The following is a 22,708-nucleotide window of genomic DNA, read 5'->3' as shown; positions in this document are numbered from 1 at the left end:
CTGGTCTCAAACTCCTGACCTCAGGTGATCTGCCTGCCTCAGCCTCCAAAAGTGCTGGGATTACAGGCATGAGTCACCGCACCCGGCCATGAGCCATGAAATGTTAATGAAAGTCCCCACAGAGAGCTCCAGAACACATCAGAGGAGCGACAGCAACCCTGGCAAGCCCAGAAATTCATGACAGTCACAAAAAGAACAGAAGGAAATGCCGGGCCCCTGGCACCCCATCCCCTAACCAGGGTCAGCTAGAACCCAGGAAAACACCTCCCTTCAGTGAGGAGGTAATCAAGAGGACCCCAGCAGACCCCACCAACACCGTGGACACCCACCGCCCTCACCCTTGGGGTCCCTTGCAGTCCTCACAGGCACGAAGCCCAGGGTGGAGTGAGCTGCCTGGAGGCCACACCACTGTGCTCCCGCCGGAGAAGGAATCGACACTGTGCCTGCCCCCGTGGCCCTCGCGGTGCCCTCTTGGAACTGGAACTACTGCTGGAGTGTATCTTGTTCCTGGGGTAGCAGCCCCAGCTCCCCTTCACCCCTGAAGCTAAGCCGCTGCCCAACCACCCCAGCCCAGTGGCCCCACATCCCCCAGCCAAGCTGCAGGCAGCTGTTACACCTCCTCTGTGGGGCCAAGCAAAGGTGGGGCCACTCCACTACCCGCTCTTGCCCCCTCAGGCTGGAGCTAAAGCCATAAACGGCCTCCAGGGAAAACAATACCTTGGCTGCTCAGAGCAGTCATGCCTCCTGGAACCCAAGCTGAAGAAGCACTCTGCATCCAGGGAAATGCCTGGGCCACCCAGGACAGTCCCGTCCCTCAGGCCTGAGCGGAAGCGACACACCACCGCAAGGGGAATCAGTGCCCTGGCTGAGCTGACGCAGTGCCCTACATCCCAGAGAAACAGAGCAGTAGCTGAGCCCAGACATCCCACCTTACAGGCCGAACAACTCAACTGCCTGCTTCCCTAGAGCTGAACTAGCCCCCTAGAGTCTGAGGAATCCCCCTTGCTAGTCTTCCCATTATGGGGAAAATGAGACTAGAAGAACCCCAACAGCCTTTGAACTGAGGATGTTAACAGCCTACACTGTCCCCACCAGTGTCACGAACTTCTACAACCTAGGCTGCTGACGGGTCCACAGTTATTGCTAATGTTGAACATGGCTGAAGAAGCTGCAGAGACTATACCACTGCACTGATCCAGAAGCAGTCACCATACCCTTCCCAAATGGCACACTAAAATCCACTGCAGGTAAAAGCCTTTCTGTATGAAAGCCACTCTAGAAATTTTGAAAGAAGCAATTGTTCCACCAGATACATAGACATCAACACGGGGACACAAGAAACATAAAAAGACGAGGAAACATATCACCAAAGGAACAAAATAACTCTCTACTAACAGGCCCCAGTGAAGAGGAAATCAACTAACTGCCAGAAAAGGTATTCAAAACAATAATCTTAAGGAGACTCAGTGAGATACAGGTAGATAAGATAATTCAACAAAATCAGGAAAACAATTCATTATGTGAACTAGAAATTTAACAAAGAACTAGAAATAATAAAAAGAGCCAAATAGAAGTCCCATACCTGAAGATTTCAAGCAATCAAATAAAAATTACAATAGATAGCTTCAACAGCAGACTTGATCAAGCAGAAAAAAGAATTTCTGAACTTGAAAACTGGTTATTTGAAATTACCCCATCAGAGAGAAAAAGAAATGAGAATGAAAAAGAGTGAAGACAGCCTACAAGTATGTAACACTACTAAGTGAACAAATGTTCATGTTATGGGAATTTCAAAAGTAGAAGAGAAGGAGAAAGGCAAAGAAAACCTATTTAATGAAATAAGAGCTAAAAAATTCCCAAGTCTGGGGAGAGATATGAACACTGACATCTAAGAAGCTCAAAGTCCCCAAGTAGATTCAACCCCAAAATGTCCTCTTACAGGCACATTATAGTCAAACTTTCAAGTAAAAGACAAAGAATTCTAAAAATGGCAAGAGAAAATCATCAAGTCACATATAAGGGAATCCTCATTAGACTAACATAAGATTTCTCACAGAAACATTACAGGGCAGGAGAGAATGAGATAATATATTCAAAGTATTGAAAGAAAAAAAGTCAGCCAAGAATACTATACTACATATTCTTCAGAAATGAGAGAGAAAAAAAAAATATTTCCCAGACAAGCAAAAATTGAGGGAAATCATCACCATTAGACTGATCTTACAAGAAATGCTCAAGGGAATCCTACATCTGTGAGTGAAAAAATGACAATCACTATCATGAAAACACACAAAAGTATAAAACTCAGTGGTAAAGCAAATATCCAAAACAGAAAAAGAAAAGAATCAAACCTTATCACTACAGAAAACCACCCAACCTCAATGATAAATAATGAGAAGGAAGAAAGGAACAAAGAAACAAAGGATATACAAAACAATCAGAAAACAATTAACAAAATTATAAAATAAACCCTCACCTACCAATAATAATCCTGAAGGTAAATGGATGAAATTCCCCACTTAAAAGATACAGACTCGCTGAATGGATTTTTTTTTAATGACCTAACTATATACTGCCTGTTAGAAACTCACTTCACCTATAAATACACATACAGACTAAAAGGGAAGGGATGTAAAAAGATATTTCATCAACCCAAAGTGAGCGATAGTAGCTATATTTCTATCAGATAAAACAGACTTTAAGTCAAAAACTACAAAGAGATGAAGGTCATTATATAACGATAAAGGGACTGACTCAGCAAGAAGATATAACAATTGTAAATATATATGCACCCAACACCAAATCATCCAGATATATAAAGTGAATATTATTAGATCTAAAGAGAGAGACTCTAATATAGTAACAGTTGGGGTCTTCAACATCACACTGTCAGCCTTCAACATATCATCAGATAGAAAATTAACAAATAAGCATTGGATTTAAACTATGGTTTAGACCAAATGGACCTAACAGACATTTACAGACCATTCCATCCAACAGCTGTACAGAATATACATTCTTTTCCTCAGCACATGGAACATTCTCCAGGATAGACCATATGTTAGGCCACAAAACAAGTCTCAACAAATTTAAAATAATTGAAATATCAAGTTTCTTCCTCTCCTCTCCTTTCCACTCCTTTCCTTTTCTTTATTTTTAAGAGATGAGGTCCCACTCTGTTGCCCAGACTGGAGTGCAGTGGCATGATCACAGTTCACCAAGCCTCGAACTCGTGGACTCAAGTGATCCTCCCTCCTCAGCCTCCCAAGTAGCTGTGACCACAGGCATGTGTACCACATCTAGCCAATTAAAAAAAAAATTCTTGTAGAGGTACAGTTTTGCTTTGGTGCCGGGGCTGGTCTTGAGCTCCTGGGCTTCAAGCAATCCTCCTGCCTTGGCCTCCTAAAGTGCTGGGATCACAGGCATGAGCCACCATGCCCAGCCCCAGCTAGACTTTTAAATTTTAGCCCTGCTAGTGTGAGTGTCATGGCGTCTCATCTCTGGTGTGATTTGCATTTCCCTGATGAATAATAATGTTGAGATCCACGCTGACCTTTGATCTCATTTCCAACCTCTGGTGAGCTACTTTGAGAAAAACAGGTAAAATTTGAGATGAGAACAGCATAGGGAGGAGTGTCCATGAGGGGAAGAGTTGAACCTTGGAGTCGATTTGTCATCCTGTTCTTAGCCACCTCAGAGCCTCTGGAAATCCCAAGCTGGAGTGCCTGCTAGGGTCTCACAGGACATAAGGGTGCCCCCCAACCCCACCTGCCCCCTGCTGACCAACGGCTTCCTGACCAAGCCCAGTGGGTTAAAAGAGGATGGTGGATGAAGGCGACGTTTCTGAGAGGGCACTTTGATAACGTCTCTCTGGTCCAAGTGGCCGGCTGGGGAGGGGGTGTGGGAGGAGGTTCACTGTGTGGGTCCCATCAGTGGGGATGGTGTGGGTCATGTCACCCTTGCTGTGGGCCCTGGGGACCCTCCTCTAGGGCTGCTCAGACCCATCCCCTGCCAGGTCCCAGGTGGGGCTGATGAGGCCGTTCCACTGCCACACAACATCTGCATCAGAGACCAAAGTAACGGGGCTCGAGGCGGGACTGGCTGGCTCTGCCCAGTGCACCATATAACAGCACGGACAAAACTACACAAATCCCAGCTGGGTACAGTGGCTCACGCCTGTTTTCCCAGCATTGTTCGAGGCTGCGGTGGGAGGATCACTTGAGGTCAGGAGTTCGAGACCTGCCTGGCCAACATGGTGAAACCCCATCTCCACTAAAAATACAAAAATTAGCAGGGCATGGTGGCACGTGCCTGTGATCCCAGCTACTCGGGAGGCTGAAGCAAGAGAATCACTTGAACTGGGGAGGCAGAGGTTGCAGGCAGTGAGCAGAGATCACGCTACTGCATTCCAGCCTAGGCAACACAGCAAGACTCCATCTCAAAAAAAAACAAAAAACAAAACAAAACAAAAACAAAACCAAAAACCAACTATGCGAATCCCCATTAAACACAAGCAGCTGAGTCTGCTTTGCACTCCGTGTCAAGGTCAGGCTGCCTTTGGGGGCCCAAAGAGACATGGGCTCCATCCAGGGATTTGCTTCCAAGAGAGGCCAGGTCCATCAAAACGTTGAAGCCTGATCCACCATGGAGGCTTCTTGTCAATAATTTTCTTTCCTTTCTTTTAAATGCTGGTGGAAACATCTGTGTCTCTCCCACCACTTTGCCTGATGTGGACAGTTTCCAGGTACTTGAGGCTGCTGACGCAGTCACTCCCTGCCCTGGAAAGAGATACTGCTGAAGGATGTTAGGTCCTTTCCTTAAGATGTGCACATATTTAATTGTGGAAAAGCATGCAGTGATTGCCTGTTTGTGAGGTCTTTATGGAGGACTCTGGTCTTGGCAATTCTGGGGTCTGAGGAGGGACAAGTTGGGCTCAGCCACTTCCTCTCAGCCAGCATCTGCTGCCCAGCCATGCTTGAGGTATCTGCCGTGTCTGCCACAAGCTCAGAGAGGAGAATCAGAGAGCCATAGTGGAGAATGCAGGGATCTTGAGCAAACCCATGTCCTCTTCAGCTAACAACTCTCCTCTCCTCCCTTCACGGAAACAGCTCTCAGATTGGTCCTGAATCTGAGGTTGACCAAGGAGCTGTTTGGGGGACACCAGGTGTCTTGGACGATTTGTGTTGGGAGGTTGGGTGATTTATAAAGAAAAGAGGTTTATTTGGCACACAGTTCTGCAGGCTGTACAAGAAGCATGGTGCCAGCATCTGCTTCTGGTGAGGCCTCAGGAAGTGTCCACTCATGGCAGAAGGCGATGGGAGCAGGTGCATGCAGACCATATGGTGAGAGAGGGAGCAAGAGAGAGTGGGCAGAGGAGGTGCCAAGCGTTTTTAACAATCAGTTCTTGTGAGAAGGAATAAAGCATGAATGCATTCATGACCGCGAGGACAGCACCAAGCTCTCATGTCCTAGGCACCTTCTGTCAGGTCCCACCTCCAACATTGGGGTTCAAATTTCAACATGAGGTTGGGGAGACAAATGTCTGAATTATAGCACCAGGCAGGTGCCATCACAACGAGGGTTACAGGCTGGTACTCCCAGCAGCCTCCAATGTCAGGAGGAGGCAGTGCCAGGAGACGAGGCTTGAGAGGGTCTCCAGGTGCACGTGCAGGTGCTCTGCCATCTCCATGTGACCTGCAGACGGAGGAAGAGAGGGTCCCGCCTTGGGCAGGTGGCTCAGCTGAACATGCCACTCAGCGTGTGTAATTGGGATTTGCATAGGTTTTTTTTTTTGAAACGAAGTCTCTCTCTATTGCTAAGGCTGGAGTGCTGTGGTCCAATCTTGGCTTATTACTGCAACCTCTGCCTCTCGCCTCCCAGGTTCAAGTGATTCTCCTGCCTCAGCCTCCCAAGTAGCTGGGATTACAGGATGGATCCTGGTGCATCACAGGTGGCCCTGGAGAAAGTGGAGGCAAGGTCCTCCTGGAGGGAGGCGTGTGAGTGTCAGCGTGGTCTCATCCAGGCAGGGGCGGCCTACAGATGGGATGGGGAGCAAAATCATGACTCCAGCCCCACGGGAGTCTGAGGAAGGAACACATAGGTGACTGGGAGGGGCCAAGCTGCATCCACCTTGCATGATTGTCAGCCTCCTCCCCAGGCTGTCCCAGGAATTGTTCCAGGGGCCATGGCAGCCCAGAGGGAACAAGGCATAGCGTGGGCAACATGCCCCTCTGTCCGCCAGGAGCAGCCAGGGCCATGGGGGCCTGGGACAGTGGGTCGCACTGGCTTCTCCGTCCTGGAGGGACTGGAGTCACCCTTGCTCTGGACACGGACTCGCATTCCCTGCCTAACTGCCCTGCTGTGGGCTTCTGGCAGCTTCTTTCATGACAGCGTCACCCAGGCTCGGAGGGAGGATCCAGAATCAGGTGGGCTTGCCGGCTTCCCGGAGGCCCAGCGTGCAGCCAGCTGGGGAAAGCACAGGGTGCTGGGTGGTGAAACTTGACGCAAATGACCTGCTCAGGGCCAGAGCCATCCTAGCCAGGGAGCCCGGCCTCGCTGCTTTCAGAAGTTTTAGCCAAGGGAGTGAGGACTCTACCAGGAGACGCGTTAGGTCCCCACAGTTGAAAGCTGAGGGTGACCGTGAGCATTCTGGGAAGTGCGTGCCACTGGGGGAAGGTCCCTGCAGACGTTACTGTGGTTCCCGGGTGACCAACCCTCACTATCAAGATGCTGCCCTCTTGCCTACATTCTGGGGGGAGCCCCCTAACCAGATCCCTCAGTGGGGATGGTGTGGGTCACCTCCCTCTTCAATAAACCCTTATCTGCAAAGCCTTGAGAGGGTGCAGACGCTGCCCCTTGTGAGGGCCCAGCTGCAGGAGCATAGCCAGAATACTGTTCCCGCCCCAGGACCCATGTGCAGCACGCCGACCTGATCCCGCCCTCCCCCCTCGCCGCAGCCATAGTTAGGGTGCTCTGAGCCAGTGAACTTTAGGGTACATCCCAGGATGCCAGATGCTGAGAAGGGAGATTGCTGGGACTGGCAGAGAAATGGGCATCATCTGGAGTCCTGGACTGGATTGGGGGGACCTTTCTGGCCCCCCAGTAAAAGAAGGGCTGACCTGGTCTGGTAGGAGTATCTGGGAAGAAGTGAACAGTGCTGGGCAGTCAGGGGATGGCTGTTGTCACTTTGGTCAGACTCTCTTCCCATGCTAGAAGAATTCTCATGGTCTGTAGGCGGGAGCCCAGGCAAGCCTAGCAGGAGACAGGCAGGCAGGGCTCCCCTGCACCTTGGGGCCAGTGCAAGCCCCTTCCACGCCGCTGCAGGCTGCTCTGGGTGTGCTCTGGGTGATGCCTGTCGGGATGAAGGGGTTCCCTGAAGCCCTGGTTCCACCCTGAAAGCCCACGCAGCTCCTTGCCATGAGCACAGGGGTATCAAAATACTGCTTCTGATTGCGTGTCCATGAGCAAGACCAGCACTCCAGGCCATGAACCAAGCTTGTCCTGTGGGTCTGTGTGCTTGCTGGCAAACTGCCAGAAACGGCTCCAGAGTAAGAAACAAAATGCCATGGGTTCATTTTCCCCAATTGGGATTTTGTTTTCTTCATATAGAACCACGGATTATAGAAGTGACACTGATAGCAAACCAATCTTTGATGTCTACTTGGAAGATGCAAAAAGACAGCAGGTGGGCAAGGCGCAGTGGCTCACACCTGTAATCCCAGCACTTTGGGAGGCTGAGGCGGGTGGATCACCTAAGGTCGGGAGCTCGAGACCAGCCTGAACAACATGGAGAAACCCTGTCTCTACTAAAAATACAAAATTAGCTGGGCATGGTGGCGCATGCCTGTAATCCCAGCTACTTGGGAGACTGAGACAGGAGAATCACTTGAACTTGGGAGGCGGAGGTTGCAGTGAGCCGAGATCGTGCCATTGCACTCCAGCCTGGGCCACAAGAGCGAAACCCCATCTCAAAAATAAATCAATAGGCCAGGCGCAGTGGCTCATGTCTGTAATCCCAGCACTTTGGAAGGCCGAGGCGGGCGGATCACGAGGTCAGGAGATGGAGACCATCCTGGCTAACATGGTGAAACCCCGTCTCTACTAAAAATACAAAAAATTAGCTGGGTGTGGTGGCAGGCGCCTGTTGTCCCAGCTACTCGGGAGGCTGAGGCAGGAGAATGGTGCGAACCCGGGAGGCGGAGCTTGCAGTGAGCCGAGATCACGCCACTGCACTCCAGCCTGGGTGACGAAGCAACTCTGTCTCAATAAATAAATAAATAAATAAATAAATAAAAAGACAGCAGGTGATATGGTTTGGACCTGTGTCCTCTCTGCACAAATCTCACCGTGAAGTGTAATCCCCAACGTTGGAAGTGGGACCTGGTGGGAAGGGATTGGATCATGGTGGTGGTCCTTCACAAGTGGGTTAGCGCCAGCTTCTTGGTGCTGTTCTCATGATAGTGAGTTATCGTTAGATCTGGTTGTTTCAAAGTGTGCGGCACCCCCTCTTTTTCTCTCTCTACTGCTCCCATGTGAGACGCCTTGTCCCGCCTTCACCTTCCACCATGACTATAAGTTTCCTGAGGCCTCCCTAGAAGTGGAAGCTGCTATGCTTCCTGTAAAGCCTGCAGAACCGTGAGCCAATTAAACCTCTTTTCTTCATGAAGTGCCCAGTCTTAGGTATGTCTTTATAGCAGTGTGAGAATGGATGAATGCACGAGGTCTTCAGGACAAGCCCGATTTCATTGGTTACGAGATGCATGTTTTTCATTCTAGCCCCCAGAGACCTGGATACGTTGCACAGATGCTGACAGCAGGTGGCAGTGTGGAGCAGCGGTGTGACACCTGCAGGGCCCTCCGGGGACACCACATAAGGGCAGCCACAGTGTCCCGGAGCCCATGCAGTGTGACAGCCCCAGGTAACTCTCCAGCCAGCACTCCACCCGTGGAATTACAGCCGACTGAAGCACCTCTGCTACATTCGTCAGCTTGATAAATGTCCAAGGAATGAACCAAGCACAGGGACCATCTCTTCCGGTAGCTTCTCACCATCACACACACTTTGCAGGGCCGAGGGCTCTTCCTGGCCCATATCTAGCACCTAGATATTTTATTCACTTATGTTTTGAATATTTCATGGGTCCTTCTCCCCCAGAGGCCTCAGAGCACTCCCAGAATTGGAATGGAAATACACAGTGTGTCCTTGTCAGCTGTCCGGGCCGCCGCGTTCAAAGGGCAGGACATAGTAGCTTCTGCTCAAATTAGAATGATCTGTCTCGTCAAGCGGAAGATGGTTGTTGAGACTTTGTGTCTTTAAAGTATTGCCTAAAAAAGCAAGATTAAATGAACGCATGAATGCTTGTGCAATACGGCAGGAAAATCCCGGGGGTCTGCCTGGACTGCTCGCCCCAACCCTCTCTACGCGTGGGTTCTGCTGCAACATCGAGGAGAGAGCAGGGGGTGCTCATCTCCAGGCCATCGGCAAAGATGTCAGACTGTACTTGTCCCACAGGCCTGGCCGGCAACAGCAGGGTCTCCCCCAAGTGGGGCTTGCCAGCCGCACTGCTGCATGTGGCTTTGGGAGGGCCTGCGGGAGCCTGCTGGTCCCCATGGGCCTGGCAAGCATCTGCCCTGGTAGACTGAAGTGCCCCCAGGCCCTGTGGTTAGTGGAAGCCTGCTGGCCCCTGGAAGATCTGGGAGAGGAGAGCTGGACAGCTCACCCACCACGGCCAGCATGAAAGGCAGCTAGTAAGCCCCCCTGCGCTGTCAGCCTCTGCTCAGAAGTCTCTGGAGTGGTGTCCAGGTGCTGAGGGGGTGCACTGATGCTGCACTGATGCTCAGCCAGGAGCAACTGGAGCAGAAAGCAGCAGTCATGGGAAGATGCCTCAGATCACACACATGCACATGTGCACACACATGCACAGATACATGCAGACAGACGGACACATGCACAGATGCACATGTGCAGACGCACATGTAGATGTGAGCACACACATGCAAAGACACACACACCAGGCACATGCACACATGCACACAGGAGCGACTGAAACTTACAATAAAGCACGAACAAGTCTACGGTTCCATAGGCGTAGCTCTGTTCCAGCAGACGCTGACCAACTCTCCCATTAAAAACACAACACAAGCTAGAAAAAACTATCTTAAAATGTCTGTTCGAAATCAATGAAGAACTCCTAAAGCAGTGACAATTTTGGGGGCCAAGGTCTGAAAGACGGGGAAAGTAAGGATGATGGGCTGATGCTTGGGGCGGCGTGGATCCGGGCTGACCAATAACTGGGGAAGCAAAAGCTGAGCTGAGCCATGGGAGCCGGACTCAGCTCTCAGCACTCATGGGGCCAAAGGAAACAAAGGGGCCCCGAGAAGCCCCTCAGCTGTTGGTGGGAACCCTGAAGGGGAATCAGCCTGACCCCACCCTCCCAGAGTCTGCAGTTGGGTCACAAGGGCCTCCCTCCCTGGGTGACCACAGGAGCGAGCGCCACTCGGCTCCCTGGAGACGGCACCACTGGTGGCCTGAGACCTGTCCTATGAACATCTGTCACTCAACCAAAAATGCCAAGGGTACAAGATGAAAATCAACCAAAAAAGGTGAAGGAGAAGAAGCAATGCAGAGAAGCTGCAGAGGAGTGGAGGGAGGTGGCCCCAGGCAGGCAGGGGAGTGGGAGGGAGGTGACCCCAGGCAGGCAGGGGAGTGGGAGGGAGGTGACCCCAGGCAGGCAAGGGAGTGGAGGAAGGTGACCCTGGATGAGCAGTGGAGTGGAGGGAGGTGGCCCCAGGCAGGCAGGGGAGTGGGAGGGAGGTGACCCCGGACGGGCCGGGGAGTGACCACCCAGAGACCGGCACCCATGATGAGGGGCTCTTAGGGTGGAAAGGAAATGACCCCCCAGGGTGGGGTGGGAGCTTGGGGATAAAGGAAGGAACGCAGACCCGGGAAAGGGAAGTGAATAAAGAGACGCATACATGGTAGAAAATAATGATAATGTGTCCGGCACGGGGGCTCACACCTGCAATTTCAGCACTTTAGGAGGCAGAGGCAGGAGGATCACTTGAGCCCAGGAGTTTGAGACCAGCCTGGGCAACACAGCAAGACGCTGTCTCTACCAAAAATTTTAAAAAATTAGACTGCATGGTTGTGTATGCCTGTAGTACTGGCTACTGGGGAGGCTGAGGTGGGAGGATTGGTAGAGCCTGGGAGTTGGAGACTGCAGTGACCTGTGACGGTGCCACTGCACTCCAGCCTGGGTGACAGAGCAAGACCCGAAAAAATGAAAAAGAAAATAATAACAATAGTGATTTCCAGAGTTTGACATGCAAGTAGAGTTAAAATACATAAGAACAACAGAACAAAGGGTGGGATGGAATAAAGGGGTGATGTAAATCTTTGGTGGTCTGGTAAGAGATAGCAGGAAGAATTTACACTGGACTTTAACATGGATAACTACTGAATGAACAGTAATTCATAACTGGCAGGCTAAGAGAGGATAAACATGGAATAAAAAATAATCGAAGCCACGAGGAGAAGAAGGAACAGGGAACAAGTAGGAAAAACAGAAAACAATTCATAATGCCAGAATTCAAACGCAGATAATGGAATCAAAACAAAAGAACCAGAAAGTTCAATTCAAAGATAAAGATACACTGGATCCTGCAGGAGACACACCCTCAATGTAAGGCCACAGAAAGATAAATGGAAAGGGAGGTCTGGAAAGCTGGGGTGGCTGCATTAACACCAAGCAGAGGAACCACGGGCAAGGAGCTCAGCAGACCAGGGTCAGCTGGTGGCATGGGGCCCAGCCCACGGGAAGATGCCAGCCTCAAACTACAGAAAACAAAGTTGCAGAGTCCAAGAAAGAAGAAGAGAAATCCACAATCATATAGAAAAATTTAAAACATCTCCTGGTCACCAATAAAGCATGTGTATTAGTCCCTTTTCATGCCGCTGACAAAGACATACCCGAGATTGGGAAGAAAAAAAGGTTTAATTGGACTTACAGTTCCACATGGCTGGGGAGGCCTCAGAATCATGGCGGCAGCAAGAGAAAATGAGGAAGAAGCAAAAGCAGAAACCCCTGATAGGCCCATCAGATCTCGTGAGATTTATTCACTCTGGCGAGAATAGCACAGGAAAGACCGGTCCCCGTGATTCAATTACCTCCCCCTGGGTCCCTCCCACAACACGTGGGAATTCTGGGAGATACAATTCAAGTTGGGATTTAGGTGGGGACACAGCCAAACCATATCAGCATGCAAGGAAAATACTAGCAAGAGTACGCAGTATTTGAATCAATCACCTCACTGATGTTTAAATCACTGCACGTGACAGGCGCATCCCAGGGCAGAGCAGCCGCCAGTGCTGAAATGACGGGGCCATGGGGTGATGGGACCGTGGGGCGACGGGGCTGTGGGGCGACGAGGCCGTGGGGCGACGGGGCCGTGGGGTGATGGGGCCGTGGAGTGATGGCGCCATGGGGCTTCTTGGGGGTACACCCTATGTAACTGGAGAGGATGAAGTGAAGTTACAAAGTCATTTACTTGGCCCATGCCCTATGGAGAGGATATTTCCTGTGGTAGCTGAAGTGTGAACTGCCTTATGCTCCCTGCCTCCAGACCCAATTTTCCTGCCTCAACAGGCGCAGGTTTCCCTGTCAGCCCGCTCTGCACTCCTGCACTCCTATCTGATCACCGGGTGTTATCTTTAAATCACTGTCAGATTTGTGTAGTGATTTCTGTAAGTTTAGATTTTTGCACCCTTGTTCCCAAGCAAAATTGGCTGATGATTTTCTTGTGCTGTTGACGGGGCCCCCGTTTGACCTCATCCAGACCCTATGGACGGGTGGCCATAGGCGGGCCACGGTTGACTGACGGAAATGTGGACGCATTGTTTTCCTCTATTTCAAGCACTGTCATCGTGAACATCCTTGTGCATGTGTGTGTTGTATGTCCACCTGGTGTATTGTGTGTGTGTTACCGAGAATTCTGTGTTCGGATGGATTTTTTAACCGACAAGATCCACAGAGCCAGAGCTCTGAACCAGCAATCTGGGTTCTTGTGACAGTGAGCAAAGAACTGCAAACACCAAAATGTAAGCTTAAAACAAGGTTGATTGAAATTTCCAGTAATACTGTCTCAGAGGGTGTGCAGGCTGATTTCTGAGAAGTGACATCAGCACCTGGTTACAGAGCTCAAGGTGCTTCTGTGGGGTGTGAGAAGTAGCTGAGGTTTGGGCTGAGTGACAGGCTGATGTCATTTGGCAGCTTATGGTGACACAGCTAAAATTAAACTGTGCATATTTTTACCCATAATTCATTAAGAAAAGCCCAGTGTGGGGGGGCCACATGTAAATGTTATTACAGTTTTAGGTCACTGGGCACATGCTGCTCTAGGGATTTCTACCTGTGCCCTGGTTTCCCCTTCCACAGGACATGCTGGCCACAGGTTTCACTTCAAACTCCGTCCCTCATGGTGGAGTTAGGGCGGGCTCGGGGCTGAACTTAGGTGGGCCAGGGGCTTAATGACAGCTTCTCTGTTCTCCTTTTTACCCTCTCCCAGCTGCTGATGTGTGTCTAACTACCTAACACGTCTATGTGGTGTGTTTTTTTGTGTGTGGGTGGTGTGCATGGTATGTGTGTCTATGTGGAGTGTTTTGTGTGTGTGGTTTGTGTGTGATTTGTGTGTCGACATGGAGTGTTTTGTGTGTGTGTGGTGTGCGTGGTGTGTGTGCCTATGTGGCATGTTGTGTGTGTGTGGTTTGTGCGTGAGTTGTGTGTCGATGTGGAGTGTTTTGTGTGTGTGGTGTGCGTGTTGTGTGTGTCTATGTGGCCTGTTGTGTGTGTGGCTGGTGCGTGATTTGTGCATATGGTGTGTTGTGTGTATGTATGTGTGCGTGGTTTGTGTGTCTATGTGGAGTGTGGGTGTGGTATGCATGGTGTGTATGTGGTGTGTTGTGGGTATGTATGCGTGTGTGTGGTTTGTGCATAGTGTGCATGGTTTGTGTGTCTATGAGGTGTGTGTGTGTGGTTTGTGTGTGGTGTATCTATGTGGCATCTTGTATGTGTGTGGTGTGTGTCTCTATGTGATGTGTTTTGTGTGTGTGGTGTGATGGTGTGTCTATGTGGCGTGGTGTATCTGTGTATCTGTGTGTATGTCTGTGGAGTGTTGCATGTGTGTGTGGTTTGTGCATGGTGTGTGTCTATGTGTAGTATGTATCTCTGTGTGTGTGTCCATATGGAGTGTTGTGTGTACCTGTGTATGTGTGTGTGTGCCTATGCGGAGTGGTATGTATCTGTGTGTGTGTCTTATGTGGAGTGGTGTGTATCTATGTGTGTGTCTATGTGGAGTGTTGTGTGTGTCTATGTGGAGTGTGTGTGGGTGTCCATATGGAGTGTTATGTGTATCTGTGTGTGTGTGTGTGTCCATATGGAGTGTTGTGTGTATCTCTGTGTGTGTGCCCACGCATGCAAGGGTTTCTCGGGCAGGGCCTGGGAGGCGCGTCCCAGGCTTGGTGCGCATCTGCCCCGGGGTCCCCACGCGGCCGGGCCCTATAACGACCTGGAAATGCTCCAGCGCCTCTTGCGCGGGCGGGACACCGGAATTTCCTAAATTTCAAGCCGGGCGCCGTCCCCTGCGCGAAACCCCCGCTCCCTGGGAGTGGAAGCCGCCGCCTCGCCCGCCGTGGGTGCCCAGGGGCTCCCTGCCGCCCCCGCCCCCGCCCCCGCCTCCGCCTCTCCCGCAGGCGCGCGCTTACCCAGCACCCAGCGCTCCCTGCACCCGGGCGGTGCTCAGGATGAAGCCTGACCGCCCCAGACCCTCTCGGGTCCTACCCCGCGACAGTGTCCCGTGCCAGGGCGACCTCCCCGGGGTCCCCCACAGAGCCATGGGAGAGGACCCCCGGGTTCGCCCTGGAGCAGGAGCCTGGGAGAGGGGCGGGCTCGAGGTGGAGGTGGGGGGCGGGGCGGGGTGTCTCAGGCTCTGCCCCGCCCCTCCTGCCTCAGCCCCGCCCCTCCTGCCTCAGCCCCGCCCCTCCTGCCTCAGCCCCGCCCCAGCCCCGCCCCTTCATGTCTCCGCCCCCATGCCTCCGCCCCGCCTCCTGTCTCCGCCCCGCCCCCCGTCCTGGGCCCTTTGCAGTCCTAGGTCGTCTGGGAGCTGCCGCTGACGCCGCCGACCAGAGCCTTCCCCTCGGCCCCAGCACCCTTCGAACTCCCGGGGCGGGCACGGAGCTCTGGACAGCCGCGTCCCCGCCCTCCCCGCCGGCTCCAGAGTGAGGCCTTCTGCGGGCAGCGGGCACTGGGCTTGGTCCAGAACCTCAGAGGCGGCCGGGGCCGAGATGGAGGGAAACCTGGGAGCGGGCGGCCGCGCGCTCTGCTGGGTCTGGGCTCGGCCGCGCGCCCTCCGGCCTCCTTCCCCCACTCGGAAGTCGCCCCCGGACCCGGAGCGGCCTCTGTGGTTCCGACTGGTCCAGGACGGTGAGACTCCTTCTCTCTCCCCAGCTTTCCTACCAGTGCGGGAAACGGAAGGAGGACTTTTTCTGGAAAATCAGTGTCTGCGCTTCCCACCGGGCGGGTTGGACCTGAAGACACGTCCGTCCCGCGGAGAATACGCGACACCGTGACCGACACGCGGCAGTCCTGCCTTAGAAGCGCGGCCGGGCCGGCGCGGGACCCGCAGCCTGGGGACCTTCCTCGCGCCCCAGAGGGGTCTGGGTGGAACGGGAAAATTAAAAATTAAAAAAAAAAAAAAAAACGGAAAGGCAAGAAAGGAAGAAGTCCGCTGGAGAACTCCGTGCGAAGGCCCCACTCCTACACGTCCCCGGCCTCAAGGGGAGACGAGGAAGAGAGCGGCCCAACCTGGGCCTGGGAGTATCGTGACCCATGTGTTTAAAGAACTAAAACGTGGCGTTAAAAATAAGTGGACGGGACACCATCAGAACTGTTTTTTTTGTTTGTTTTGTTTTTAGATGGAGTCTCACTCTGTCGCCAGGCTGGAGTGCAATGGCGCGATCTGGGCTCACTGCAACCTCCACCTCCTGGGTTCAAGTGATTCTCCTGCCTCAGCCTCCTGCACCCTCCTGTGTAGCTGGGATTACAGGCACGTGCCACCACGGCTGCCTAATTTTTGTATTTTTAGCAGAGATGGGGTTTCACCATGTTGGCCAGGCTGGTCTCGAACTGCTGACCTCAGTTGATCCACCCGCCACAGCCTCCCAAAGTTGGAATTAAAGGTGTGAGCCACCGCACCCTGCCACACTGTCAGAATTGAGGAGGCAGATATGAGAAACATCTTAGGAATAAAAAAGAATAAATGAATTTGAAAACAATGAATAGGCTAAGCAGCAAATTAGATGCAAATACATATAAAATTAGCGAACTGGAAGATATATTTGAAGAAGTCACCCAGAGTGCAACACAGACAAAGGGTGAAAAATAAGTTCTCTTTAGTGGTTAGCATTGTGATGGAGTAAAAAGGCCCCACGTGGCCTAACTGGGGCTCTAGGAGGAAAAAAAGTGGATTAAATGGGCCAAGGTAATAGGGAAGAGATGTGAATGGAAAGGCACCATTTCTCAGACTCTGAAGCTTCAGAGAATCTAAGCAGAGTGTGTTTGAAGAAAACCACATCTGGACACACCTGTTGTAACTGGAGATTCTCAAAGACAAAGATTATAAAAGCAACTGGAGAGAAGAATGAGTAACTGTTGAACGGCACTGAAACCAACACCTAAACAGCAATAGGGGAAGCCGTGAGAAGCAGAGGTCTCAAATACCTGGGAGGAAACAGCTTTCAACAAGAACTGTTCATCCCATGATATACCTTTCAAGAATGAGAGTAAAACAAAAGCATTTGTAGTTAAACAAAAACTAAGACTTCCACTTTGAGCCACGACAGAATAACTGGTCCAGATTTACTCTCTCACCTTAAACAACTAGAAAGAAGGACAAAATATATGCAAAAATGTCTTTTGAGACATGGGACAGCGGTCAGAATTGGGCAGCAGTTACTGAGAGAGGAGAAACTAATGAGGAGAGACCTTCCAGCCCCTGGCTACTGTCTGGAGAGGAGCTCCAGGCCAGAGCCTGAGAGGGGGTACCCAGATAAGGCGGGGTCTTGCTGCGGCAGAGACTGAGTTATAAGTTGGGGGAAGCCAAGGCAACCAGAATTTTCAGGGCTGAGTACAAGAGAAGAGGGAGCTACAGAGAGAGAAAGAGATGGGGAAGGAGAGAAAGAGATGGGGGAGGAGAGAAAGAGATGGGGTGAGAGAAGGCGAGAGGGAGACCCACCCAGAGAACTGTGGCTGAGCACTGATCTACGCATGCCTATGAAGAAATTACCTGAGGGGAAAAGAACCACTAGAAAGGAGGAGGCAGAACATCCGGAGGAGCTCGAACAGGGCTGGGATTGTTCGTGTTCCCACAAGCCAGAGTGGAAAGACCTCCTAATTCAAAGGGCATCGTGGAGGCTGCAGCAGGGTAGTGTGTCAGCAATGGGGCCAGATTAGCCCCAGGCTGAAGGACCCACACTAACGAGGCTTCTAAGCAATCCTCAAAAGGATTCCAACACAACCCAAGAATATTCAAAGTAATACCAAAAATTCAGCACCCACCCATGTACCTTTCACAATGTCTATACCATTCAATCAAAAACTATCACACATAGAAGCAGGAAAATATGATTCATACCCAGGGTCAAAATCCATCAATAGAAACAGACCCAGAGAAGACAGATACAATGGGATTTGTATACAAGAACAGTGAGGCAGTGCTAACTAGATTTCATATGCTCAAAAAGGTAGAAGAAGGCATGGGCGTGATGAAGAGGTTCTTTTTCAATGAACATAAAACAATTGCCAACATTCCTTAACAGCATATAAAATAGTGGTACATCTTAAAAGTGGTGCTACCTTAAATTTTTGGTGAAATGTGGTAACAGCATCTATTACAACCTGCCTGGTGTTTATCCCCCTTGGAATGTAACCATTACTTTAATTTATTTATCATTTTAGAATGAAGTTGGGAGCAAGAGGGAGTGGACTCTCATTCACTGACTTACTCATTCTGTTATCACATGCGTACTGAAAATTCAGAGTAAAACCTCGTACTGTGCAACCCAGAATTTACCAAGATGAGAATAATGAGATATATAAACCAATAACTCTACACAAAGTGCTGCAAGAGAAGATTAACATGAGACAGAAGGAGTTCAGAGGCGAGGAGAAGTCAAGGCTGGCCACACAGCAGAAGAGGAACTTTGGCTGGGCTTGGATGATGGGGCATTTGGACAAGTGAAGCAGTGGAGAATTTCTTTGAGGGACCTGGGCCTCCACCAGCCCTTTGTATGAATTAGAAAGGGACTTTTTCTCTGTTGCCCAACACTGCAGGTGCACTACTTGGGAAGTGAACGGCACCTTTGAAATGAGGTGCTACTGAAACAAAAGCCTAAAACTGGGGAAATCATCTTAGGGATGGAAGTGTGGGCTAAGAGACCTCAATGAGACTGATAGTAAAGTCTCAAAGTTCAGTGAGGGAACACCTGGAAAGATGGAAAAGAGTGACTGCTGTCATGTAGCAGCAGAAACGTTAGTTAAAATATCCTTTGGGGAAACCAGGACACCAAAAAATATACCACATGAGCTTGTGGGTTTGACTGAAGAGACTTTGAGGCAGACTGTCATAATTGGCAACTGCTTTCTTTTAGCTGTGTGTAATATAGATAAAATAATGAAGGAATGTCCCATTTTTGAGCAAAATTTAAAGAAAATATAAAGGTGTCAGGACTTGGCTGGGTTTCTCTAAGTGGTTTCTCATATGCATCTTTCAGACAAAGAAATATTCTCACAGTAAGAAAATGCTGCGTGGCAAAGATGGAACTCAGTGTGTTTGAAGTCAACTATGGCTGTGGGGTAAAGTTCAGATTAAAAGTGTGGATTTCATACCTTTTATTGAGACTTGAGAAAGATTTAAGGCATGCCTCATTTACTCTTTCAGTGAGACTGAGAGACTTGTGATGATATCTTTGTCTAATGGAGTGAGACCCCCTTAAGATTTGTAGGAAATCCACCAAGTTTTTAAGAGAATTGTATTGGTGGAAGCACTGTCAGCTCTGAATAAAGGGACAATTCAAAATTAGAAGAAGTCTCTGGGACATCCATCTTCTATGTCCAGGAAGATGACTAAGAGAGGTAATCAGATGAAAATATGGACCGTTTTTCGGGGGAAAGGAAGGGTGACTCAGAGGGTGGAGTCAAGAGCATGGAGGGAGAGGCAAGAGCATAGAACAAACACTCAGCTCTAATTAAGGTACACTTCCTACCTCTAGAGCAGGGGAATTGGTGCCCTGCAGCTGGATTTTAGCTGTGTGGGCATTGACTGCTAATGTGCCGCCAGCTTTCTGACTTTTCAGTCAGAAAGACCGATCCTGGTTTCTTTCCTCCCCATTGTATTAAAATGTTGGGTGTGTGGAAGAGGGAATTTGACCCCTTTAGTTTGCAGGTCTTCACGCTGGGAGGGATTGCGCTTGAGTAAATGCATCTTAGGAATACACTGGGGGTACTTTACAGACCTGACATAGATGATGAGACCCTGGACTTTGTGCTGATGCCATAATGGGCTGGGATGTTGGAGGCCTTGGTGAAGGAGGTGAGTGTATTTTGCATATGCAAAGGACAGGAATGCCTGTAGCCAAAGAGTAGACCATGCCATTATGTTCTTTTTCTTTTTGTTTGTTTTGAGACGGAGTTTCGCTGTTGTTGCCCAGGCTGGAGTGCAATGGCATGATCTTGGCTCACTGCAATCTCTGCCTCCTGGGTTCAAGCGATTCTCCTGCCTCAGCCTCTGTAGTAGCTGGGATTACAGGCATGCACCACCATGTCCAGCTAATTTTGTATTTTTAGTAGAGACAGGGTTTCTCCATGTTGCTCAGGCTGGTCTCAAATTCCTGACCTCAGGTGATCCACCCACCTGGGCCTCCCGAAGTGCTGGGATTACAGGTGTGAGCCACCGTGCCTGGCCGACATTATGTTATTTTTCTAAGGTGGCCACAGCAATGGTTTTCCATCCCACATGTTCTTCAACGTGAACTTGCTACATCCTGAAGAGATGGGTCTATTTCTTGACCCTCTTACACAGTCAAATGAGGCAAAGTAGAAAATTCATTCATTCTTAGCCTAAGATAAGCATGCAGAGGAAGAGACATTAATGAATTCATGCAGCATGAAATTTTCCCAGTGGGGGAATAAAAAAGATACATTATTAGAACAAATAGAATTATAAAATGACATAAGTGGCTATATCTTTTTAGGACACTCTTCAATAAAATCAAGCTGTTTAGCATTATTGCATTTTAACTACATTCCATTTTTCTGACATTAACCAAAAAAGCTTAACAATTAATTTGGTATATTTTGAAGTCTGTCCCTAAAATATTTGCAGTCCCCTCAGGCTAGATCATGGGCTTCCTGGCACTCCACTCCAGCAACAGTGTACTATGGTCCTCATCACCTGGTGTACTTACCGTCATGACCACCCAGAGGTAAAAGGGAGCTGCAGCCCATGGCTGGCCAGGACCCTGGGTTTTCAGAAATCCCTGCTATGTTAATATGCTGTCCACTTGTTTGCTCAACTGCCTCACTTCAGGCTCAACATCTCTAGAAAAACAGATATTAGGGAAGTCCCTGGCCCAGTTGCAGGGCCGGCGCACTTCAGCAGCCCCAAGTGTAAGCTGCACAGGCAAGCTGAAAGCCAGGTCCTCACTGTGGTGCCCCTCGTCTCCCCCAAGCCTGGCACCCCAGGGCCCATTTCTGTATCAGTGTGTCCCAGCCCTGGCTTTCATCTCACAAGGATAACAGCAAATAGCTTAAAGGAAATAAAGAAAACGTGGGTTGAAAGGGCACAGTACATCCTAGGCAAAAGGTGCATCATGAGCAAGAATGACATACAGACCGAGGGTGTGCTGGAGATGGCTCACACCAGCCCTTAGAGCTGGCTGTTAAATTATCAAGAATAGTGTGAGCCAGTTGTTAATCCCAGCCATTATCGTACATCAAATTAACAAATTTACAACCAAATCAATTATATCAAAAACAAAGTTAATAGATACTCCACACTCATTTCTTCCTAATTATTTTTAACCTGTTTTGCTACTGTTTATGCCCTGGAGGCTGCTTATGACAACTGTACCTGTATGATGGAGTTGCTACACAAAGGTGGCTACTGTGTATCTCTTTCCAACTCTGCATTCAGTGACATTTGGTAGCTGGAAATCCACCACAGTGGGAGTTTTACCAGAAACTGGCAAATGCTACAATCAGGGCTTTCCCCGAAGAAAGCTGGTTGGTAAACATTTGCCTGCACACTACAGATAAAGAACTATGAGCTCTTCATAGCGGGTTGCATACCAAGGAGAGTACAAGAGGCCACCTCAGAACTCCCACTGAGTGCTCTTGTGGAGAAGGAGACAGAGCAGGGTCTACACAGTTAGGGTGGAAATGGGCTCTGGGAGTTTTATACCCATCCAAGTTCTCGCTCACATGTGGAGGACAGCAGGTAACGTGCTGACACTGAAGGACAACAGCCCAAGTACATCCAGGTTTGTAGCGGTATGGCCAAAAAGGACACTCCTTTCATGAAGGCATCCCATGATGCCTTTGTGGAAGGGACCCCCAACCCACGGGCCACAGACCAGTACCAGTCTGTGGCCTGTTAGGAACCGGCCTGCACAGCAGCAAGTGAGTGGTGGGCCAGCGAGCATGACCACCTGACCTAACCTCCTGTCCGATCTGCGGTGGCATTACATTCTCAGGGGCACAAACCCTATGTGAATTGCACATTCAAGGGTTCTAGGTTGTGCACTCCTTATGAGAATCTAATGCCTGATGATCTGAGATGGAACAGTTTTGTCCTGAAATCCTGAAACCATAGCCCCCTGCCACCCCTCATCTGTGGAAAAATTGTCTTCCATGAGACTGGTTCCTAGTGCCAAAAAGTTTGGGGACCACTGCTTTATAGTACCTAAAATTATATGTTTTTGTTGACAGAGTTTTCTAGAGGGATCTGCAAGAAGCTGTTACGATTTATTGCATGGGGAGGGAAGCTCAGGGTGGTTAGAATTCTTTACTTCTCCTGTGTTGATTGCACTTTCTACATTGTATGTATGTACCTTTAATATTTTATAAATGTGTGTTTTTTAGAAGAGATATGCTGACATAGGACACAGAAAGATTTAAAATAAAATGAAAGAAAAGATATATTAAACCAATATTACCCATTAGAAAGCTGCTGAATTGCTATGACTGTCCCATGAAATAGACTTAAAGGCAAAAAGCATCATGAACGTTAAAGAAAATAAGAAGAATGACTCACCAGCAGGACAAAAACTGTGATGGACAAAAACTGTGGACATGAGGAATGACTGTGATGGAGAAGAACAAGAACTGTGATGAACCCATATGCACCTAAGAACATGGCCTCCAAACACAGAAAGCAAACACTAACGGAACTGTGAGTCCACAATCTCAAGAAGTTTTGTATGTCTCTTTCAATGACAAGACAATAACAACAAAAAATTAGGATACAAAAGAATGAGTTGAGTCTGTTCGTATTAATTTGAAAAGATCTCTTCAACATATTATTTATTCAGTATGCCAAGATGCAGAGCAGTATTGCATAGTGTAATCTCATTGATGTGTTAAAAGTATACATGTGCACA

The 22,708-nt window shown here is 49.6% G+C and overlaps 2 long non-coding RNA genes across 2 annotated transcripts in view, besides 7 other annotated features; one reads left to right on the top strand and one right to left on the bottom strand.

The window, feature by feature from the left end:
* LOC107985485 (uncharacterized) overlaps positions 1-22,581 on the top strand; it is a 32,664-nt gene extending 10,083 nt beyond the window's left edge. Inside the window, exon 2 of the long non-coding RNA XR_001755092.2 lies at positions 15,501-22,581. This is a non-coding gene — a long non-coding RNA (uncharacterized LOC107985485). The remainder of the gene's footprint in view (positions 1-15,500) is intronic.
* Positions 2,659-12,061, bottom strand: LINC01694 (long intergenic non-protein coding RNA 1694). The gene is made up of 2 exons (NR_146912.1): positions 12,007-12,061; positions 2,659-9,324 (listed from the first exon to the last, which is right to left on the bottom strand). It is a non-coding gene; the product is annotated as a long intergenic non-protein coding RNA 1694 (long non-coding RNA).
* Positions 4,694-4,894: a silencer, noted in NCBI's record as "peak4424 fragment used in MPRA reporter construct". NCBI's record gives its function as "represses an SCP1 promoter by STARR-seq MPRAs in K562 erythroleukemia cells {active_cell/tissue: K562}" and the evidence as "EXISTENCE:reporter gene assay evidence [ECO:0000049][PMID:32103011]".
* Positions 8,666-8,960: a silencer, noted in NCBI's record as "tiled region #7423; K562 Repressive DNase unmatched - State 25:Art". NCBI's record gives its function as "represses a minimal TATA promoter and a strong SV40 promoter by Sharpr-MPRA in K562 cells {active_cell/tissue: K562}" and the evidence as "EXISTENCE:reporter gene assay evidence [ECO:0000049][PMID:27701403]".
* Positions 9,505-10,006: an enhancer, noted in NCBI's record as "H3K4me1 hESC enhancer chr21:47015623-47016124 (GRCh37/hg19 assembly coordinates)". NCBI's record gives its function as "activates a minimal SCP1, AML or CMV promoter by ChIP-STARR-seq in naive H9 embryonic stem cells {active_cell/tissue: H9 hESC(naive)}" and the evidence as "EXISTENCE:reporter gene assay evidence [ECO:0000049][PMID:30033119]".
* Positions 14,544-15,033: a silencer, noted in NCBI's record as "silent region_13409". NCBI's record gives its function as "represses an Ori minimal core promoter by ATAC-STARR-seq in GM12878 lymphoblastoid cells {active_cell/tissue: GM12878}" and the evidence as "EXISTENCE:reporter gene assay evidence [ECO:0000049][PMID:35858748]".
* Positions 15,044-15,193: a silencer, noted in NCBI's record as "silent region_13408". NCBI's record gives its function as "represses an Ori minimal core promoter by ATAC-STARR-seq in GM12878 lymphoblastoid cells {active_cell/tissue: GM12878}" and the evidence as "EXISTENCE:reporter gene assay evidence [ECO:0000049][PMID:35858748]".
* Positions 15,234-15,303: a silencer, noted in NCBI's record as "silent region_13407". NCBI's record gives its function as "represses an Ori minimal core promoter by ATAC-STARR-seq in GM12878 lymphoblastoid cells {active_cell/tissue: GM12878}" and the evidence as "EXISTENCE:reporter gene assay evidence [ECO:0000049][PMID:35858748]".
* Positions 15,575-16,075: an enhancer, noted in NCBI's record as "H3K4me1 hESC enhancer chr21:47009554-47010054 (GRCh37/hg19 assembly coordinates)". NCBI's record gives its function as "activates a minimal SCP1, AML or CMV promoter by ChIP-STARR-seq in naive H9 embryonic stem cells {active_cell/tissue: H9 hESC(naive)}" and the evidence as "EXISTENCE:reporter gene assay evidence [ECO:0000049][PMID:30033119]".
* Positions 22,582-22,708: the final 127 nt, after the last annotated feature.

The sequence above is a fragment of the Homo sapiens genome, chromosome 21 (assembly GCF_000001405.40).
Source record: "Homo sapiens chromosome 21, GRCh38.p14 Primary Assembly".
In the NCBI taxonomy this organism is placed as follows: domain Eukaryota; kingdom Metazoa; phylum Chordata; class Mammalia; order Primates; family Hominidae; genus Homo; species Homo sapiens.
This window is presented reverse-complemented; position numbering and strand designations above follow the sequence as displayed.